General features: G+C 35.9%; 1 protein-coding gene and 1 long non-coding RNA gene across 16 annotated transcripts in view; one reads left to right on the plus strand and one right to left on the minus strand.

Annotated features, from left to right (window-relative positions):
* The window catches only part of ITGB3BP (integrin subunit beta 3 binding protein), an 88418-nt gene that overhangs the window by 39381 nt on the left and 26961 nt on the right, over positions 1-22076 (minus strand). For all 15 annotated transcript variants that reach the window (NR_045147.2, XR_007058557.1, XM_047416577.1 and 12 more), the window contains one exon: positions 9933-10068. Coding sequence is in view for 13 of the 15 variants with exons in the window: in NM_001347145.2 (NP_001334074.1) it covers positions 9933-10068 (136 nt within the window). In the remaining 2 variants the exon portion in view is untranslated. The remainder of the gene's footprint in view (positions 1-9932; positions 10069-22076) is intronic.
* LOC102724319 (uncharacterized) overlaps positions 7803-22076 on the plus strand; it is a 29842-nt gene continuing 15568 nt past the window's right edge. The window contains exon 1 of the long non-coding RNA XR_426701.4: positions 7803-8127. This is a non-coding gene — a long non-coding RNA (uncharacterized LOC102724319). The remainder of the gene's footprint in view (positions 8128-22076) is intronic.

The following is a 22076-nucleotide window of genomic DNA, read 5'->3' on the forward strand; positions in this document are numbered from 1 at the left end:
GGCTTATCTAAACTTTTACAAGTTTCACAAATTGACAGATGCACACGTGAAGACATAGGATGTAACTAAGTCATAATCCTTCATATGCCCACTGGGTTGAAATGTAAGTTTGTTTGATTTTATAGCTCTAGTAGAACATAATGTTTGTACTTATCAATGGTCAAGTAGATAACTGTTTTATGAGCTATTTAGTTGTTTGTTCTAGAGTACTTTATACTACCATATACACTATGTACTTTAAACACATTTGATATATAATTAGCAAGTATTTGAGGACACATATTAGTAGAGTTAAGATTTTCAGTGTCTTAAATATACTGGCTTTTGATGTTTATGAATGAACAAGCAAATGAATGAATAACCCAAACTGTTCACCACTAATGAAAAACAGTCAAACGAAACTCAATTTCATTGAGTCCACTGGTTCAGAAACTGATTAATAATAATTCCTCTCATTGTTACTTTGGACCTATGTCTTCCTCAAAAAAAACAAAACAAAAAAAACCCTATCACAATTAAATTGTTACCCCAAAATAGTCTCTAATGCAAAAGGAGAAAAAACTTACAGAAATTTTGTTAAAGCACTAGTTATTTCTCTTGTTTATGAACTATGCCTTATTTGACAAGTCTTTATCCTTAAGTTCCAAACAGAATAAATTAATATGGTTAAAAATTTAGTAAAGAATGTAAGGGGAAAAGAATAACAATATATTATGATTTTAGAGAGTTTTGGAGTAATAAATTAAAATCTGTCTCTAAAAAAAAGCTGAAAATGAATGTTTTGTGGAAAACCACAAATGAAAACCCAAATTGTACCTTAAACCTTTATTTCAGAAAATCTTTGCCTAAAGGTCAATACTAGTTTCCTGAATTTTGTACTATGCTGTTTGCATTCAGTAAGGCTCCAAAATTAAGTATTAAAATTACTTTGCTCCTTTAACTTGTAATTCATTTTCACATTTCAGCACTAATAGCAAAAAATGTTAGGTAATAAATAGTAAAGAATGTTATTTGAATTTTCACTAGGTATTCAATGCCTTTCTAAATATTTTTATTATAAGAGAACTAGTCAAATATCTCACCCTGTAAAAATGTGGATCAATAGTATTAACCTCAGTCTTCTCATGGAAGGACTTATGATTTTAAATAATTTTCAGCTGTTAAATATGAAGAGTTTTAATATTTCTAAGAGTAATACTTAGATCAGTTACTAGACTGTTGAGTAATACAACATATTGAGTAGTAAATGTAGTAAATGAGGTTTCCAGTTACTTAATAATTACTTTCCTTTATTTCATTCCATTCTATTAAAAAAAGTAAGCACAATGAAAATATACAAAAGCACTATAGAGTCTATATGGTATTTTTCTTGTGAGATTATATGTAAAAGTGACCAAACACTTGTGTATTTGACTCTCTTCAAGTGCAGTTTCACAAAACATTGGTGATAAATGTACCATCACTGAATCTGAACTACATTCATAATTGTATTTGAGCTTTCTGGTAAGGCTCCAGGGAGCTCTTTCCCTAACAAATGAAGATAGCTTTCAACAAATTGTTAATACTTGGAAACACAATCAATAGTGATGACAACGGCTAACACATGGTATTAATTAGGGCCAGGCATTGCTTTAAATATGTTACATATGATATCTAATTAACTTGCACAACTCTGATATAGTCACTCTTGTTCCCATTTTACAGATGAGAAAATAGAAGTACAGAATGGTTACAAACTTATCCCAGCCCATAAAGTTAGTGAGTGAGGATTGAAACCCAGACATTTAGCTGAAGACTGTGCTCTTAACCATGATGCAATGCTTATTAATAGATTAATGTAGGCTGGGTGCGGTGGCTCATGCCTGTAATCCTAGCACTTTGGGAGGCTGAGGCAGGTGGATTGCCTGAGCTCAGGAGTTTCAGACCAGCCTGGTCAACACCGTGAAACCCTGTCTCTACTAAAATACAAAAAATTACCCGCGCCTGGTGGTGTGTGCCTATAATCTCAGCTACTTGGGAGGCTGAGACAGGAGAATCACTTGAACCTGGGAGGCAGAGGTTGCAGTGAGCCGAGATCACGCCACTGCACTCCAGCCTGGGTGACAGAGTGACTCCATCTCAAAAAAAAAAAAAAAAAAAAAAAGATTAATGTAAAGCCCAAACAGGTTTAGGCTGGTATCATGCTGCTTCTAGGTACCCATACTTTATAGTTGATAAATACTATAGGCAATCATTTTGGTCTCAAACCAAAAGTTAAGAGTTGGAAAAACCTTGATCCACAGAGGTTCAAGTGATTTGTTCAAGGTGGTCAAACAAAAGTTAGTAACTTCTTTCTAAAAAGGTTACTTGCATGTAGATCAAGTTGAGGCCTGTAGGCAAAGAGGTGAATGAGATACTGATACAGTCCTGCTATTCTTTTAATAAACCAAATTAATATTAATAGAGTGGAGGGTAAATAACCTCTTTGGAGGATCAACTCACAAAAAATAACAATGTTAATTTTTTTTTTTTTTTTTTTTTGAGACAGAGTCTCACTTTGCCAGCCCAGCCCGGAAAGCAGTGGTGCGATCTCTGCTCACTGCAACCTCCGCCTCCCGGGTTCAAGTGATTCTCTTGCCTCAGCCTTCCGAGTAGCTGGGACTGCAAGCGTGCACCACCACGCCTGGCTAATTTTTGTATTTTTAGTAGAGACTGGGTTTTGCCATGTTGGCCAGGCTAATCTCAAACTCCTGACCTCAGGTGATCTGCCCGCCTCAGCCCCCCAAAGTGCTGGGATTTACAGGCATGAGCCACTGCGCCCAGCTCAATGGTTCTTTTTCACTCAAAATGAAAATACCTTTATTAAGTCCCATAGATAGAAATATAATAATATTCTTAAAATATTACTTACATTATTGAATAGAAGGTTATCGCTGAGAAAATTGAAATCACTTTTTAATCTACTAAAACAGTAATATTTGGGAAGCAGTAACAAAAATACAGGTTTTTACATCTTTCATTCAGATTACTTTGTGTTGACTGGGTACTTGACAGTCTGATAACTGATTTAAGTGTTATTCTTAGAAATATTAAACCTTGTCATATTTAAAAGCTGAAAAGTATTTAAAAGCATAAGCCCTTCCATGAAAAGACTGAGATTAATATTATTGATCTACATTTTACAGGTAAGATATTTGACTAGTTCTTTCACAATAATAAAAATGTTTAGCATTTGGCCCACACCTCAGATTGCTCATCACAGGTTTAAGGAGATAGTATATTAGTTTATCAGCTCTTTTACATATTGTTTGCTCCTTCTGCTACTTGAAAAAAAATCAGTCTTGCCAGAGGGCTAACATTTCATTAGACTTTTCTGAGAACCAGCTTTTGATTTGTTGCTTTTCTTTATTATTGCCCTGTTTTCAATTTGTAATTTATCTTCATATCATTATTTCCTTTCTACTTTGGGGGGTTCATTATGTTGTTCCTTTTCAGTCATTCTGAGTTGAATGCTTGACTCAATAGTTTTCAATCATTCTTCCTTTTTAAATACAGTCATGAGCAGTATAACAACATTTTGGTCAGTGACAAACCACATATATGACAGTGGTCTCATAAGATTATAAACACCATATTTCTACTGTACCTTTTCTACTCAGATATGTTTAAATACACCAATACCATTATGTTTTGATTGCCTATGGTATTCAGTAGTCCACTGTATAGGTTTGCAGCCTAGGAACAAAAGGCTATACCATATAGCATAAATGTGTAGTAGGCTATGACATCTAGGTTTGTGTAAGTACAATCTATGATGTTCATACAATGACAAAATCACCAAACAATGCTTTCCTCAGAAGGTATCCCCATTGTTAAGTGACACAGGACTGTATATGCATTTGTAAGTACAGTTGGCCCTCTGTATTAGTGGATTCCACATCTGTGGATTCAACCAACCATGGATCAAAAATACTTTGTTTAAAAAAAGGATGGTTGCATCTGTACTGAACATATACAGACTTTTCCTTGTCATAATTCCCTAAACAATACAGTATAACAACTATTTCCATAGCACTTACATTGTATTAGGTATATAAGTAATCCTGAGATAATTTAAAGTATATAGGAGGGTGTATTGGTTATATGCAAATACTATACTATTTTCTACAAGGGACTTGAGAGTCTGTGGATCTTGGAAACTGAGTGGGATCCAGTAACCAATCCCCCAGATAGGAAGGGACGACTGTATAAAGCTTCCACCAAGAACTGCTTTAGTATAATGTAGGTATAAATTTTTCCTCTAAGTGCTGACATGTTTTCATTATCATTCAATTTTAAATATTTTATACTTTCCATTATAATTTTTCTGATCAATGAATTATTTAGAAGTTTCTTGGTTTCCAAACATACAGGTTAAAATTTTTGGAGGGCTGCCTTTTCATTATTGATTCCTAATTGTATGAAATTTTAGAGTGTGAGCTGTATGACTGTAATTTTTAGTACAGTGAGACTTCCTCTGTAACTCCAAGCTGGTTACATTTTTGTGAACATTCTACATGTGCTTTATTATATGGGTATTATATCTTTTTGACCACAGCTCATTAGATAAACTTGCTAATTGTGTACAACTTGTCTATGTCCTTCCTTTTTAACCGCTTCATCAGTTTCTGAAAGAGGTAGTTTAAAATCTCCTACAATGATTGTGGATTTATCAGTTTCTCCCTTGTTATCCTGTCATATTTCATTATGTTTTGAGTTTTTTAGATGCACATATGGCTCAGGATCCTTTTATTTTTGTAGTGGTGAATCTTTCTCTATCTCTTATGTAAAGAGCCTCATTATTTTCAATAAATCCTTTTAGGCATAAAGTCTATTTCAGCCTTTCTATTTTTGTATCAACTACTAGCTTTTTTTAAAAAGCTAGTATTTGCTTTGTTTTCTTTTTCTATTCCTTCAGATTTAATTGTCTTATGTCTTTTCTTAAAGTCTAATTAATAATGCTATTAATGAAAATGGCTAGAACATGTATGGAACATATACTATTAATATACGTCAAGTACCATTCTAAGTGCTTTCTGTGTATTAATTCATTTAATCCTCACAATTCTGAGGTAGGAATTACTATCTTCCCCATTTTACAGGCAAGAAAACAAAAAATACAATGAAGAAGTCAACTGATAGATATCTTGTCTGCCTGAAAATACGAGGACCTTAAAATATTGTCTAAAACATCGTAACTCTTATCTGTTGCCTCCTCACCTTCCATGATAGTTTTTCACCCGCCCTCCAATTGTTTGACTTTTTTTTTTCACCCGCCCTCCAATTGTTTGTTTTTAACCTGCCCTCCAATTTTTTTTTCACCCGCCCTCCAATTGTTTGACTTTTGCTTTATAGTCAGCAAAACTTGTAATTAGATTAACATGTTTGCTAATTCACTTTTTCATCATTGCTTTTTGCAATTCCACTCCTTTATCTGAGGTTCACTTTACCTCTTAGAGAAGTAACTTATTTTGTAGTTATTTTAAGAGAATCTGTGAGTGGCAAACTCTCTGAGACTTTGTCTGAAAAATTGTATTTCATCCTCACTTCCTGGATAAAAACTCAACTGTGATTCTTAATTGATACTATTATTGCATTTTCTGCTGGAGTCTACTGATATAGATAAGTTTATCAGTCTGTTACTCTCTTGTAGGTACTATCTTTTCTCTGGTTGCCCTTAAAATTTTGTCTTTGATGTTCTACATACAGTTTTATCATGATATAACTAGATGTGGATCTGTTTTACTTTACCCTGCCCAGACTTAGCATGCTACTCTAATTTGCAAATTCTTATCTTTCCTTAATTATGAAAAACTGATAGTCCTTATATCTTAGAATACTGCCTATGGACCATTCTCTGTATTTCCTCCTTGTAGAACTCCAATTTGGCAGATGTTGGAGAGTCTTATTCTGCCTATCATTTCACTTTATTGTTTTATCACATTCTCCTTTTATCTCTCTGTACTATTATATTGTTATAGTCTGAGTGATTTTTACAGATCTATTGTCCAGTTAACAAGTACTCTCTTCGACTATGCAAATTTGTTGTTTATTCTTCTACTTTCATTATTAAATAACAAGTCCGAAGTGTTCATGGGAGGAAAGGGGAAAAATTTTCTCTTTCTTCTTTTCTAAAATGCATACAACTGACCCTTGAGGAACTCGAGGGTTAGGAGTGCCAAATCCCCCATGTAGTCAAAAATCCAAGTATAACTCTTGACTCCCCAAAAACTTAACTACCAATAGCCTACTGTTGACCAGATGCCACAAAGTCAATTAATACATATTTCGTGTGTTATATGTATTATATTGTGTATTCTTACAATAAAGCTAGAGAAAAAAGTTATTAAGAAAATCATAAGGAAGATAAAATATTTACAGTATTGTAAAGTATTAATACCATAAGCTTGTCATCTGTTTACAAGATGAACTGTCAGAAATGGTGAGGAACTACAGCTGCAGACCTTAATCTACAGTACATATCAAGTAATTCATCTTTTTCTTGTAATGTCATGATTTTTCTCTGCTCATTGGGAGCACTTCCAGCATCACTAGTGGCACTTTATGTGGGTTTCATGGTGTTAGTCAAGGTTTCCAGCATAGCCCTAAACATGATGAAAAACATACGAGAACCATGAGATCATTTTTTACTGCAATACACAATTTACTTGAGAGACACATTACTTGTGCAGAGATTATCAGCATCACATGGTCAAGCAGATACTTGCAACACTTGAGCTCACTACAATAGCAACAGGAGGTAGCTATGAAATTATTACAGTAGCACAGTATGTACTAGAGTTAATTTTATGCAGTTATGATTTAGTACTGCATCTTTATATTCATTTACATTTCTCTCAGCTGCAAATGGGACTGTGTAGGGTCTAAGTGTTTGTATGCATTAGTTTTGATAAATTTTATTTTTTATAATAAATTTGTGTATGTTTTATGGTAAATGATAGACTAGTAGCTACATATATTTTATGCATCCATGGCATAGCCAACTTTTTTTTTTATATTTACAGTCTATAAAGTTTGTCTGCAGGGTTTTACAAATTGTCACAAAACTCCAAAAAATTTTCCAGTATGTTTATTTGAAAATAATCTTCATGTAAGTGGACCTGTGCAGTTCAAACCCATGTTGTTCAAGGGTCAACTGTAATAGTCTGGAGAAACTTGCTATGGGTTGGAGGAGGGCAGCAAAATAATGTACATACAAATTAAAAAATACATAAATGATACATAACATACACACATACATATAGAGTTATGTGTCACTTAACTATGGACATACATTCTGAGAAATGCATCATGAGGTGATCTCATTGTTGTGCAAACATCGTAGGTGTGCTTATACAAACCTCCATTGTATAACCTACCACACACCTAGTGTATAGCCTATTGCTCCTAGTCTACAAACCTGTACAGCATATTACTGTACTGAACACTGTAGGCAATTGTAACATATTGTAAGTATTTGTTTATCTAAACATATCTAAACATAAAAAAGCACAGTAAAATACGGTATTATAATCTTACAGGACCATCATTGTATGTGGTCATTTGTTGAACAAAACATCATTATGTAGTACACGACTATATCATGTACTACATATAATTGTACATGCTACACTTTTATATGACTAGCAGCGAGCTAGGTTTGTTTACACTGGCATCACCACAAAAATGTGAGTAACGTGTTGTGCTACAATGTTATGACGGCTACCGGGCAACTAAGCAATAGGAATTTTTCAGCTCCATTATAATCTTGGGGGACCCCTGATGTGTATACAGTCTGTCACTGACTGAAATGTTATTATGTGCTGCATGAACGCATCTGTTAAATGTATAAACTAAAGAGTTGAAACAAATCCCATGTTTGGCCAATGTAGAATCTAAGTAGAAGGAAGACATAGAACTAAATTTTTCATCCTTTTATAACTACAAATGGATTTAAATATAATATTAAGTCTTCTGTTCACATAGTACATGGTTCAAATGTACATAGAAAGTACATATAAATATCTGGAGGAAGATTATTCCAGGTGGAGAGAACTGCAAGACCTTGTGGCAAGAAGGGGCTCAGCATGACTGACAAATAGCAAGAAGGTAAGAGTGGCTAAAGTAGTGTAAAAAAGGGGTAGAAAATGAGGCAGATGAGGTGTTTGGGTGTTAGATGGATATATGGCCTTCCATGTCATGATAAGGGTTTTGGATCTTATCATAAGTGTGATGGGAAGTGAGTAACACCAAAAATGTCCTTGAAAATGTAATTTAAATTTTATATTATGTTTTGTATAATATTTTAAAAGTGGGAGTTGTTAAGAGATTATGACCTCATTTAGAATTTAAATGACTTCATACGTCATATTTTCTCATTTATTTTGAACTTAAGTTACTTCCTAAAAATCAAGCTTTTTTATTTTTAAAACATGTACAAGATGACATATTAGGATAAGCAATGTAATGATTACAAATGACATAATCTCATACAGAATTCTGGACAAAATTCTGTTTCGAGACTTCTATATGTGAGATATATATATTACAGCACATATGAAACATGTATGTGCAGTCTGATGAATAACTAGAGTGAATCAGTGTAACCACTATGTAGGTCAAAAAACAGAACATTGCCAGCACCTCTGAAACCCTTGCTATCTGACTTTTTAAAAAAGAGCTTACTTAGGACTATAATCTGTGATAATTATCTACTTAAATGCCAACTGAAATCATGTGACCAATCTTTTTATGGGCAAAAGGAATGTCCCCTTAAGTCCATACTTAATTTCAATATGGAAATTGAGTACATATCAACTTAAAATCTATTCACATTTCAGTATAGGGATGTACAATCTCTAAGGCATTTATTTTTAATTAAAAAGATATATCATGCATATAAAAATAGAACTATGAAACTTAAAGTGTATACATTTTCATACATTTTAGGGAAAGAGAACCTAATAGTAACAGCTTTAGGATAAAAAGCATTTGATTAAAGTAAAATTAAAGACATTCAAAACTTTAAGATCTCATTATGTGTTACATTATAACAAATCAGGTAAAATGAGACTTCTTTTTTCTGGGTAGCTTCTAGTATATGCTTAGCACTCATTAAATGTTAAACAATAAAATGTGAATTAGGCTAATCACAGTATATCTAAAGGATACACTATTAAATTTGAGCCTATTTAAAATTTTAATTATAAAACTACATGTCACTGATTCATAACCTTTCTCAAAAAAAAAAAACCCCACGGAATCGAGATTTGTGTTTTTAAATCAATATTTTAGCAATGAACTACCAGAGGACAACAAATATGTATGGTCAAAATTAAAATTAAACTAATAATATTTTAAAATAAAGAATTTCATATTAAAATTAGATTTTTCTCTATGGAAAAATTCTACAAACCTTTTGTAAATACATTTGAAATAGTCAAGAAAAAGAAGGGAATGAAATATAATAAATAAAGATAAGCTATATAAAGATATACTAAATGTGGGTAAAACTCAATGGAAACCATGGATAAAAATAACATTTAGAAGTATCACTCTTAAGTTGTAGTGCAGCAGCACCTGAATTATGCTCCCTTTAATTTATGCACATGATGGATAGCTTGTTAAGGGGCATATCTGTAACCATTATAATTGATAGTAGCTGAAGGCAAGTCAGGCCATAATTTCTATTTAATGGATGGGATAGTAAGGGAACAAAGCCTGCAGTTGCATTTTAAAATAAGTGCCAAAAGTTTACATTTATGTCCAAAGTAATACCTATATTAAGGTATTAAATTATTTGAGAGAAGAGAAAAATCAGCTGTAGCAAGATCCATACATAATTAAATCACAATTTTGATTTGGCCAATAACTAGAAAAACCTTACAATAAGTAGAAAAGAATGTTCAACTAACCATTTGATAGTCCATTTCTGTGCTTTTGCTCTTCAGAACTTGTGGGAGAAGCAAATAGACTCATTTGACAAGTTCCAGTTGTTGGAGAATAAGTTATAACACTTTTCTTCCTTGTGATTTTTGAAGGATCAAATGACTGGAAATAAATAATAATTAAGGACAGAAATAGCTATGTTTAGTTATAGATCTTTGAAATTATATACCATTAAAAAATCAGCAAAATTCAAACTTGTTTCCTTGCTCTTGCTTTTCAGATTACAAATATACTCAACTATCACTCTCAAAGTAAACACTATTCTTTCAAGGTAGATATTTCAGGTCTCTATAATAACTAGAACATCTCAATTTGATATTTACTAAATTTTAGCATTAAAGGGTTACTACCTTCTGAGATGGTATTTCCAAACAGGTTAGAGATGGCCAACTCTCCCAACCATACCCTGACTTTTGCTTTCAGCTGAACTTGAAGTATAATTATGGGGCCAGGGCAGGAAAACTCTCAGAGGTGCCTATTACTAAGCCTCACACAGAAACCTTAGGAAGGATCACTGCTGTCCTACAGCTTCACAAAGTGGTCTGATGTAGCATCTTGCTTCAATAATCACCAAAATAATGTCCAAACAGTTGAGTCAGGCATTTAAGGCCTTTGAGGATTTGGCCTGTCTTACAAATTTCCTCTTAGCAGCTTCCTCCTTTGTGTTTCCATAGGTGTTGGGCATACCTCTTATTTCAGGTAACATATTTTAATAAGTTCTGTCTGTTCCATTAGAATTTGCTCCTGAAAATAAATATTATCTTTTCATCTTTATATCCTAGAGAACTAAAAAATGTGTGAGGAACGAATGACTTACAAGGAACAGTCCAGTAAATTTGGCCATCTTGCTCTACTCAGAATATACTAATTTGTTCACTGGTTCATACATCCAATTATTATTCACTGTTACCTACAGCTTCAGTCACTAGGCTATGTGCATTTGGGCCTCAGATCATTTTGTGATCTCAGCTTGGAACATCCTCTTTTTTATCTTCCCCAAGACCTAGACTTTCCTTAGTTTAGGTCCTCATTCATGATCCCCTTCCTTCAAACATCCATTATCATACTATTAATTGTTCCCTTTCCTGAATTCCCTTAAAACTTGCTTTCCATAAGCTTACTGATCACCCACCAGCACTGCTAAATGTGTACTAATGTGTACAAAGAAATATAACAAATTGCTCTGGCCTTAAGGAGTATCTACCAAAAGTTAGAAGAACAACAAAGAGGTTTTAAATTAGTATGCATGCTACGAAATTCAGAGAAGAGGAAAAATTCAAAGTTGGCTGCAGTAGTCTGTCACAGAAAAAGGCATGAGAAATCTGAAATAAGAGGTGGAACAGACAGCATAGGATGGATCTGGGGGATATAGGAAAGGTCTGATGGCTCATACATTGCCAACATACTGGATATAGCTTGGTAGAGGATTTGAAATAGTTCCTTAACTCTGCCTGGTCAACTATCCTTTATTTTTAAGAGACCTATGGAAGAAATAGTGGCTGTGTCATCTTTTTTAGTAATCTTAATATTAGTTCCAGAATCTATAGCATTCAAAAAAAATTTTTTTACAGTTAAGATTTTAAATATTAGGAAACAATATTTAATTATATTGAGAAATGAAAGGCATTGTTTATTTTATGTATCCATAGTGGCCACAAATGCGATGAATATCTTTTAAAAAATCAAACTATAATATCAAGTTATAACTCTAAAGCAATCTTTTTTTTTGTACAGTGAAAGGGTTTTAAGTCTCTTTATCGGGTGGTTATTATTACCTCTCCATCTTGAGTTTTTACCTGTTTGTATGTATTCAGTCATAAACTATGACATTTATCCAATCCCTACTCTACTTTTCCAAGAATTTATTGCCCAGAACTACTTCACTGTGTATGTACAAGGAATGAAAGTCACTACCCTAATGTACATCTATATCTATCTGTTTTTCTATTTTCACCAAAAAATTATTTTATCCAATTGCCATATGTCTAAACATTTTAACTGTAGATCATACATTTCTCCTTGGAAACAATTTTCCAGCTTTCAGAAAATAACTCTGTGAGTGTGCATGTGCTCTGTGTGTGTGTGTGTGTGTGTGTGTGTGTGTGTATTTTTGCCTCACTTTAAAAATACTGAGGCTTCTCTCTTTTTTTATTTTTTTGGTCATTTGTGTTGGTTAAAAAGAAAAATGTCTATCTACAACTACTATACACAGAAGGAAAATTGAAAAGCTACCCTTTCCCTACTATACCACTAAATATTCTTCAGTAAATATGCACTTTTGTTTATCTTCCCTACTGGTACACACAAAGGCATAACCCTACTTCCCTAAGTTTTCTTTCCCTCAAGGTTGTACCAAGTTCCTCTAACTTTTAATCTCTGAAGAGGTTTAAAAGTAATCCTAGAATCCATCTGAGAATTTCCATTCTGCCAACTCCCAAACTTTGAAGATCTTGGCCTACTCATTAGTCTCCCACAAAAGGAAGAATTAAGAATACTGGGATTTGAGAGAAGACTGAGCTACTAACTGAGAAGTCAGCAATCCTTCCATTCAGCAAGGATGAGTGCTACCTATGAGCCCTTTAGAAAAACAGGAAGAAAGAGTAAGAGGGCTAGATTTGGCTAGAAAAAAGCAAGGACTCAGGATGTAACAAAATAAAAAAAAACAAAACAAAACAAAAAACAAAAAGAAAGAAAGAAAGAGAGCGATGTCAGCTGGGCAGGGCATTTCATGCCTGTTATCCCAGCACTTTGGGAAGCCAAGGTGGGAGGATTGCTTGAGCTCAGGAGTTTGAAACCAGCCTGAGCAACATGACAAAACCCCGTCTCCACAAAAAGTACCAAAAAATTAGCTGGGCATAGTGGTGCATGCCTGTGGTCCCAGCTACTCTGGAGGCTGAGGTGGGAAGATCACTTAAACCCAGGAAGTTGAGGCTGTAGTGAGCTGTGGATCACACCACACACACACACACACACGCGCGCGCGCGCAAGAAAATAGATGTCACAACCACTTCTATAATAATTTACAACTGCTGGCAGCTCATGCCTGTAATCCCAGCACTTTGGGAGGCCAAGGTGGGTAAATCACTTGAGGCCGAGTAGGAGACCAGCCTGGCAACATGGAGAAACCCTGTCTCTACTAAAAATACAAAAATTAGCCAGGCATGGTGGCGCGCCTGTTGTCCTAGCTACTCAGGAGGCTGAGGCACGAGAATCACTTGGACCCAGGAGGCAGAGGTTGCAGTGAGCCAAGATCACGCCACCGCACTCTAGCCTGGGCGACACAGGGAGATTCTGTCTCAAAAAACAAACAAACAAACAAACAAACAAACAAACAAACAAACCTGCTTGTAATAATTCCTGACTCCTTAGAGTTATTTAACACCATTTCTAAACAAAAGAAATGCCACATTCTAAGATGCTGCAATCAGCCCCACCCAAATGCTACTGTACTTTTTATAAGGAGGTCTAATCTTGTACATTAGCAAAACTAAAATTTGGGCATCGATTTTTCTGCCTGAAAAAAAAATCAATGTTCTCTCAATAATTTCAAATAGATATGATATTTTCCTTTCCTTCCTTCAATTTCTTTCACAAATTGTAGCTTACTTTGTCACCTTGTTTAAAGCATACACTACCAAAAAAGTGCCTACATTTTACTGATTTTTTTAAACCTATTATAAACAGTCTAGAGAGTACTAACTAAAAATTCTTGCAGGATAAAATATGGGATTTAAAGGATACTTTATCACTATTTTGAACTGTCAGCCTATGCTAAAATATTTAAAATACAGATACTGTAGTGTCTGGTCAACTAGAAACAAAAGGGCAGCTAGAAGGAGATAATTCTTCATAAACTTATGCTGGTTATTTAGGCTATTGGAGTGTCCCACCTAAGATATAATTAATATGCATTACTAGTACTAATTATGAAATTTACATTAGAAAACTCTAGCATTAGCTGCCTCAGAGACGTTTCACAATTTGGGCCTAAGGTGCCTAGAAGAGTACTAGATACCAACCAACAACCTTCTTTTTTTTTTTGACACAGAGTCTTGCTGGGTCTTCCGGACTGGAGTGCAGTGGCACGGTCTTGGCTCACTGCAACCTCTGCCTCCCGGGTTCAAGCGAAGTAGCTGGGATTACAGGCACCCACCACCACGTCCGGCTAATTTGTGTATTTTTAGTAGAGACAAGGTTTCACTATGTTCACCAGGTTGGTCTCCAACTCCTGACCTCAAATGATCTGCCCGCCTTGGCTTCCCAAAGTGCTGGGATTATAGGTGTGAGATACCACAACCAACCCCAACTACCTTCTTATCAGCTACTACAATTATCAACCTTAATGGTTCTAAAAATCTTGGGGTTTTGTTTTTATGGTAGCCATGGAGAACAGAAACATTTTGAACTTATCTTAGTGATCTTACAGGGATAGCAAGGAAAGAATATGACCAATATATTAGAGCTATGATACTGAATTATACATTTGCTAAAACTCATCGAATTATACACTCGAGATCTTTGAAATTAATAATATGCAAATTTCACCCTGACAAGAAAAATAAAATACTGGCTAAAAACGTTGATGCACTGGTTTTTCTATTTGTAGTAATTATTTTTTCACAATTTAAAGATATTAAGATATTAATTTTAATAATAAAAGTATCATTACTGTCATTCTCTTACACTGTAATTTTGTTTTCCTAAGAGACAAAGTCTTTCTCTGTCGCCTAGACTGAAGTGCAGTGGCACTATCACAGCTCACTGCAGCCTTGAACTCCTGGGCTCAAGTGATCCTCCCACTTTACCCACCTGAGTAGCTGAGGCTATAGGCACGCACTACCATGCCAGCTTATTTAACAAACAAAATTTTTTTAGAGACAGGGTCTTACTACATTGCCCAAGCTTGTCCCAAATTGCTAGCCTCAAGCAATTCTCCCACCTCAGCCTCCCCCAAAGCTGGGATTACAGCCAGAAGCCACCATGCAGGCTTCTAGAGACTTTATGGTTTGGCTTTACTTTAGGCCTATGATCCTTCTTGGAATAAATTTTGTAAATAAAGTGAGATATGAAGTGCATATGAATTTTGTATATGAAGTGAATTTTTTTCTAGATGGTTACCATTTATTAAAGACTTTCTTTTTCCCCAATGAATTGACCCAGTATTTTAAAACGTTTAACAAATTTAGTCAACTGCTAAAGATAATATAAAAATATGAACCAAAAACAGTATTAGAAATAAGATTTTCCAAAGAGAATGAAGAATCATGAAGTCTTTAAACAATTACACTAAAGGAAAGATAGCTGTGGTATATGGAAGGAACCGCAGACTTAACATTGGAAAGCCTGGGCTCACATAATGGTTTTGCTGCTCCCCAGCTATGCTATCATGGACACACCACTCATCTGAATTTCAGTTTCCTCACTTAACTAATATATTCCCTCACTCAACTAGCAAAGAGCAAAGAAAGTAGGATGGGGCAGGTAGGGGGCAGCTGGCACTGCCATGTATCTCAGGCCAGGATCCATGGCAATCACTCTCTCTTCCCTTGTGGAGGAAGGTGGGGGTGGGGGTGAAGGCAAATTAATTCTAACCATGCTATTCAAGCAAAAAAAGTGAGGGCTTTTGTGGAAAATCTCCCTAGAACCAGGATGCTTTATCTTAGGCTCCACTCTAGGCAACCCCTTTTCCTTTTAAACAAGGATATATAATAATATTTCCTATACCAGAATGAAAAGATTCAGCATGAAACCAGATTCATGGACCCAACCAAGAAGCCACAACATTCTGTGGGAGGGAATCTCTCAGGTAGATTAGGGCAGGGCTTTTCCATGTGTCTACTCATAACCCATTCTTGAGATAGGGAGCCGGGAACTATTCCAAGCAACGGGTATGATTATGGGCAAAAGGGGCAGTTGAGGAAACAGCTGCAGATTTGCAACTCCTAAGCTTACTCCTACTTCATTCTGGGCCACTACAATTTTTTTTTTTTTTTTGAGACACAGTCTGGCTCTGTTACCCAGGCGGGAGTGCAGTGGTGCGATCACGGCTCACTGCAACGTCCGCCTCCTGGGCTCAAGTGACCCTCCCACCTTAGCCTCCTGAGTAATTGGGACGACAGGTGCGCACCACCATGCCTGGCTAATTTTTTGTACTTTTGGTAGAGACAGGATTTTGTGATGTTGCCAGGCTGATCTCAAACTCCTGAGCTCAAGCAATCTGCCAGCCTCAGCCTCCCAAAGTGCTGGGATTACAGGTGTGAGCCACTGCACCTGGCACTATAATTTGCTCCTTTGAACAACTGTACCTTGGTTCTTACTTTCTCCAGCAGGCCAACTGAACTTGATGTGTGCAAATGATGTATCTTGTGAATTTTAACTTTTTTCCTTAATAAAAATATTTTTATATATTTTAATCTAAGGTCCTTATTTTTATACTTTGTTGTGAGGTACACAGGCAACCTCAGGGATAATTTGACAGCTGCTCCAGGTCTGCAAAGCAGGAATACTTTTTGTTGTTGTTAAATTATCACCACAAAAAACAGCTACTTGGAGTATACAGCCTATTGGACTATCTCATTTATGTCAATAAGGGCTGGCTTTTCTACTGCAATGTCTTCTTAAAGCTCCTCCAGCTTGATAATGTTTCTTGGGATACTTGGTTTTAGTTGATTTGTCCCATGACTTGATCTCATTTTACTGGAAGATTGGACATGAGTATGAATAGGAAGGTGGTGCTGAAAGGTTAGAGCCTGGGCCAGGTGAAAGGCCTAGAGAGGAACAAGGTTAGATGAAGTTGTCTACATATGCAATAAAGGATTCCTATTCCAAGTCTCTAATCCTAGAGTACTAGACTTGCTTCACACACCAGATCTATCCTTCACTGAGATTAAACTAAATCTACCATGCACATTAAGATGTGTGTGTGTGTGTGTCTGAAAGTATGAGCTGGTAAGCATAGGTTTTTTAAATGAAATGCCTGTACCCATCTGTGTTGCCCAGGAATAAATGTATGAAGCAAAGACAAAAATTCTTAATTTTTCTAGCCAGGTGTGGTGGCATGTGCCTGCAGTCCTAGCTACTCGGGAGGTTGAGTTGGGAGGATCACTTGAGTCGAGGAGTTCGAGGCTGCAGTGAAACATGATTATACCACTGCACACCAGTTTGGATGACAGAATGAGATCCCTATTCTAAAAAAATAAAATAAAACAAAAAATCCTTAACTTTTGAACATTCTGGACTTAGAGACCTAGACCCATTACCAAGGGCTTTTGTTAATAGTATCTGGAGCCACTGTCCTGCATTGTTGCAGTAGTGATTGTAGAGTCATAGTAGCTAAAGAGAAAGGGAGTTTCATTTACCTGCCGTAAAAGCACTATAAACTTACATCCCTTTGTTCAAACAGGGCAAATAGAATGTATTGGGTGACATGTGTCTCATCCTGGGGGGGAGACTAAGAAAAGGAAGATAAATGTATCTAAGTCACTCAGGAGCTTTTATATAGGTGCAAAAAATGTATGTCAAAGTGGCCACAAGACAAGAGAAGGACAAATGCAGCTCGATGTTTACTGATAGAAACTAAAGCTTTGTGCAAAAGTCTGAATTCATGAAGAGGGAAGGACAGAAGGTAGGCTGAGTGTGTACCTGTCTGTTCTTTTCTTGATCCCTTCCCCGTCTTCCTGAACTGCAGGAGACTGAGCTCCCTTGGACTCTGATGACTTTATCACTGGGGTGTGTTTATTTGATGGTCAATTTGCTGTACTGGGCACTTCTTTTCTGTTGCACTATTGTAACACATGCTTTTCCTTTCCCCCTTTTTCTTTTTTCCAAGAAAATACAATGAATAAATACTTATTGGTATTGGGGAAAAAAACAAAAAACAAAAAAAGATATACAATTATAAACATAAACATATCTAACAGGAGAGGCCCAAAATACATAAAACAAAAACTGGCAGAATTGGAAGGGAGAGATTGAAAATTCAACTATAATAGTTGGAAACTTCAATTCCCCGCATTCAATAATGAATAGAAAACCTAGATAGAAAATCAGCAAGGAAACAGAAAATTTGAATAAAACTATATACCAACTAGATTTAACAGACATCTATAGAACCCTCCCCCAACAACAGCAGAATACACATTCTTCTCAAGTGCACATAAAACATTTGGCAGGATAACAACATGTTGGGCCACAAAACAGGTCTCAACACATTTAAAAAGAGGAAAATAATACAATGTTCTCATAAAGAATGTTCTCTGGTCACATAGAATGACAATAAAAATAACAGAAGAAAACTTAGAAAATACACAAATATGTGTAAATCAAACAACATACTGCTAAATAACCAATGGGTCAAAGAAGGAATTTTTTTAAAACTTAAAAAACACATTAAGAACAAAACGCAACAAAACATAGAAAAACTTAATGGGATGTAGTGAAAGTGGTACTCAGAGGGAAATTTATAGCTGCAAATAACTATGTTAAAAGAGACAGCTCTCATATCAATAACCTAAGCTTCTACTTTAAGACACCAGAAAAAGAAAAGCAAACTAAACCCAAGGCAAGCAGAAGGAAAAAAAAAAAGACAATTAAAGAGAAAACAAATGAAATGGAGAAAAAACAACAGATATTAGTGGTGGTGATTCCAATAGTCAGTATTTTGAGAAGATCAACAAAATTGGTAAATCTTCAGCTAGACTGATGAAGGAAGGAAGAAAAGGAGGGAGGGAGGGTGGAAGGAAGGAAGGGATGGGGAGTCAAATTATAAAATCAGGAATGAAAAAGGGATGTTACTACTGGCCTTGCAGAAATAAAAGAAATCATAAAGGGCTACTATGACCAACTGCATGCTAACAAATTAGATAATCTAGATGAAATAGGCAAATTTCCAGAAACACATAACATACCAGGATTGAATTATGGAGAACAGGAAAATCTTAATAAATCAACAGCATGTAAAGACATAAGAGTTAATATTCAAAAAATTTACAACAAAGAAAAGCCCAGGACCAGGTAGCTTCACAAGTGAATTCCACTAGCGTTTTTTTTTTTTTTTTTTTCTTGAGATGTAGTTTCACTCTTGTTGCCCAGGCTGGAGGGCAATGGCGCGATCTCGGCTCACCGCAACCTCCGTATCCCGGGTTCAAGCAATTCTCCTGCCTCAGCTGGGATTACAGGCATGTGCCACCATGCCTGGCTAATTTTGTATTTTTTAGTAGAGAAGGGGGTTTCTCCATGTTGGTCAGGCTGGTCTCGAACTCCCGGCCTCAGGTGATCCACCTGCCTGGGCCTCCCAAAGTGCTGGGATTACAGGTGTGAGCCACTGCGCCCAGCCTTTCTACTAATATTTAAAGAAGTGACACCAAGTATTCTCAAACTCTCCAAAAATATGAGGAAACACTTCCTAATTCTTTGAAGCCAGTATTATCCTGATACCAGAACATTACAGACCCAAATCCCTTATAAATACAGATGTAAAAATCCTGGCAAATTGAAATCAGCAGCATAAAAGAATTATATGTCATAGCCAAGCAGAATTTATGCAAGGAAAGCAAGGTTGGTTCAACATACAAATATCAATCAATGTAATACACTATATTAAGAGAATAAAAGAAAAAAGCACACATGATCATCTCAATTATGCAGGAAAAGTAACTGACAAAAATCTAACATCCTTTCATGATAAAAACACTCAACAGACTAGGAATAGAACAGAATTTTCTCAATCTGATAAAAGACATGTATGAAAAACTCAGAGCTAACATCATACTTAATGATGAAAGACTGGATTCTTTCCCTCTAAGATCAGGTACAAGAAAAGAATGTCTGCTCTTGCCACTTCTACTTAATATTTTTCAGGAGGTTCTGGCCAAAGCAATGGGCACGAAAAAGAAATAAAAGGCGTAGATTGCAAAAGAAGAAGTAAAACTATCCCTACTTGCAGATGACCTGATCTTATATATAGAATACCCTAAGTAGGGCGGGGGGGCTGTGACTCACGCCTGTAATCCCAGCACTTTGGGAGGCCCAGACGGGCGGATCACCTGAGGTCAGGAGTTCGAGGCCAGCCTGGCCAATGTGGTGAAACCCTGTCTCTACTAAAAATACAAAATTTAGCTGGGCGTGGTTGTGTGCACCTGTAGTCCCAGGTACTTGGAAGGCCGAGGCAGGAGAACTGCTTGAACCCAGGAGGCGGAGGTTGCAGTGAGCTGGGATCGCGCCATTGCACTCCAGCCTGGGCAAAAGAGCAAGACTCTGTCTCAAAACAAAAAAAAAAGAAAATCTCCAAATTATTAATGCTAATAAATGGGTTCAGCAAAGCTGCAGGATATATGATCCATATGTAAAAATCAGTTGTATTTCTATACATTAGCAGTGACTAATCTAAAAATGAAATTATAAAGCAATTCCATTAATAGCATAAAAAGAATAAAATACTTAGGAATAAATTTAATCAGAAAACTATAAGACTTGTATACTGAAAACTATGAAACATTATTGAAAGATAATAAGCGAGATCTAAATAAACAGAAATATATCTCACATTCATGGTTTGGATGACTTACTATTATTGTTAAGATTGCAAATTTCCCAACTGAATCTGCAAATTTGATGTAATCCTTATCAAAATTCCAATGCCTTTTTTTTTCCAGAAGTGGACTAACTGATCCCAAAATTCATATGGAATTACAAAGGATACAGAATAGCCAAATCAATCTTGAAAAAGAACAACAAAGTTGAAGGACTCATACTTCCTGATTTCAAACTTACAATCAAAACGTTTTTTAATCTTAGAAACTTACAGTAATGAAGACCGCATGGTAGTGGCATAAACACATATATATAGATAGACAAATGGAATTTATCTGGGAATTCTGAAATAAATGCATACATTTATGATCACTTGATTTTTAACAAAGGTGCCAAGGCTGTTCAATAAAGGAAAAAATAGTCGTTTCAGCAAATGGTAGGGACTAGATTCATTTTTTTACATGTGGATATCTGTTTCAGTAACTGGTTATACACATGCAAAATAATGAATCCAGTCCCTACCTTGAACCATGTACAAAAATTAACTCAAAATGGAAGACCTAAATGAAAGAGTTAATACTATAAAACTCTTAGAAACGTAGATAAAAACCTGTGTTTCCATGGGTTACATGTTTCTCGGATATGACATCAAAAGGACAATCAAAGAAAGAAACAGGTAAATTGAATCTTGAAAATGTTATGCTAAATGAAAGAAGCCAGACACAAAATTATGAGACTCCATTTATATGAAATGGTCAGAAGAAGATCTACACAGACAGAAAGTAGATTAGTGGTTTCCAGGGGGAGGGGGAGAGGAGGAAATTGAGACTAACTGCTAATAGGTATGGGGTTTCCTTTTGGGGTGAGAGAAATGTTCTAGGATTGGAGAGATTAAGTTAGGCAATGGGAATAATCTGACTTAGAAGTGTCTTACTGCCAGGCATGGTGGCTCACACCTGTAATCCCAGCACTCTAGGAGGCCGAGATGGGCAGATTGCTTGAGCTCGGGAGTTTGAGACCAGCCTGGACAACATGGCAAAACTAAAAAAAAAATAGATACAAAAAATTAGCTGGGCATAGAGGCCTGTGCCTGTAGTCCCAGCTACCCTGGAGGCTGAGGTAAGACGATTGCTTGAGCCCAGAAGGTTGAGGCTGCAGTGAGCTGTGATCATAACAATGTACTCCAGCCTGGGCAACAGAGTGAGGCCCTGTCTCGAAAAAAAAAAAAAAGTGTCTTACTAATAAGTTATGGAGTACCCTTGACTGGATATCTATATATAAATCAGCAAACCTCCCCAACAAAACCTGCACCACTACTCCTCTGGCAGGAAGCCTATTGAGCTGGCCTTGGTAAGAAGTATGCTCTTCTCTTCCCAACCGTAGCATCTTCTATTCTCTCTCTGAAGTGTCCTGAAAAAGACTGGGTCAAGCTGGCTTGGTATATGGCCAGGTAGCCAGTTGTCCATATAAATTCATCTGGACTGCCATCGGCAACAGTTTGTAATATATAATTCATCTTCATTCCTGAAAATCTACCTAGGAACAATGCTTGGAGAGCAACAACTCAAGCAGGCCAAATA

This window comes from Homo sapiens, chromosome 1 (genome assembly GCF_000001405.40).
Source record: "Homo sapiens chromosome 1, GRCh38.p14 Primary Assembly".
Lineage (NCBI taxonomy): Eukaryota > Metazoa > Chordata > Mammalia > Primates > Hominidae > Homo > Homo sapiens.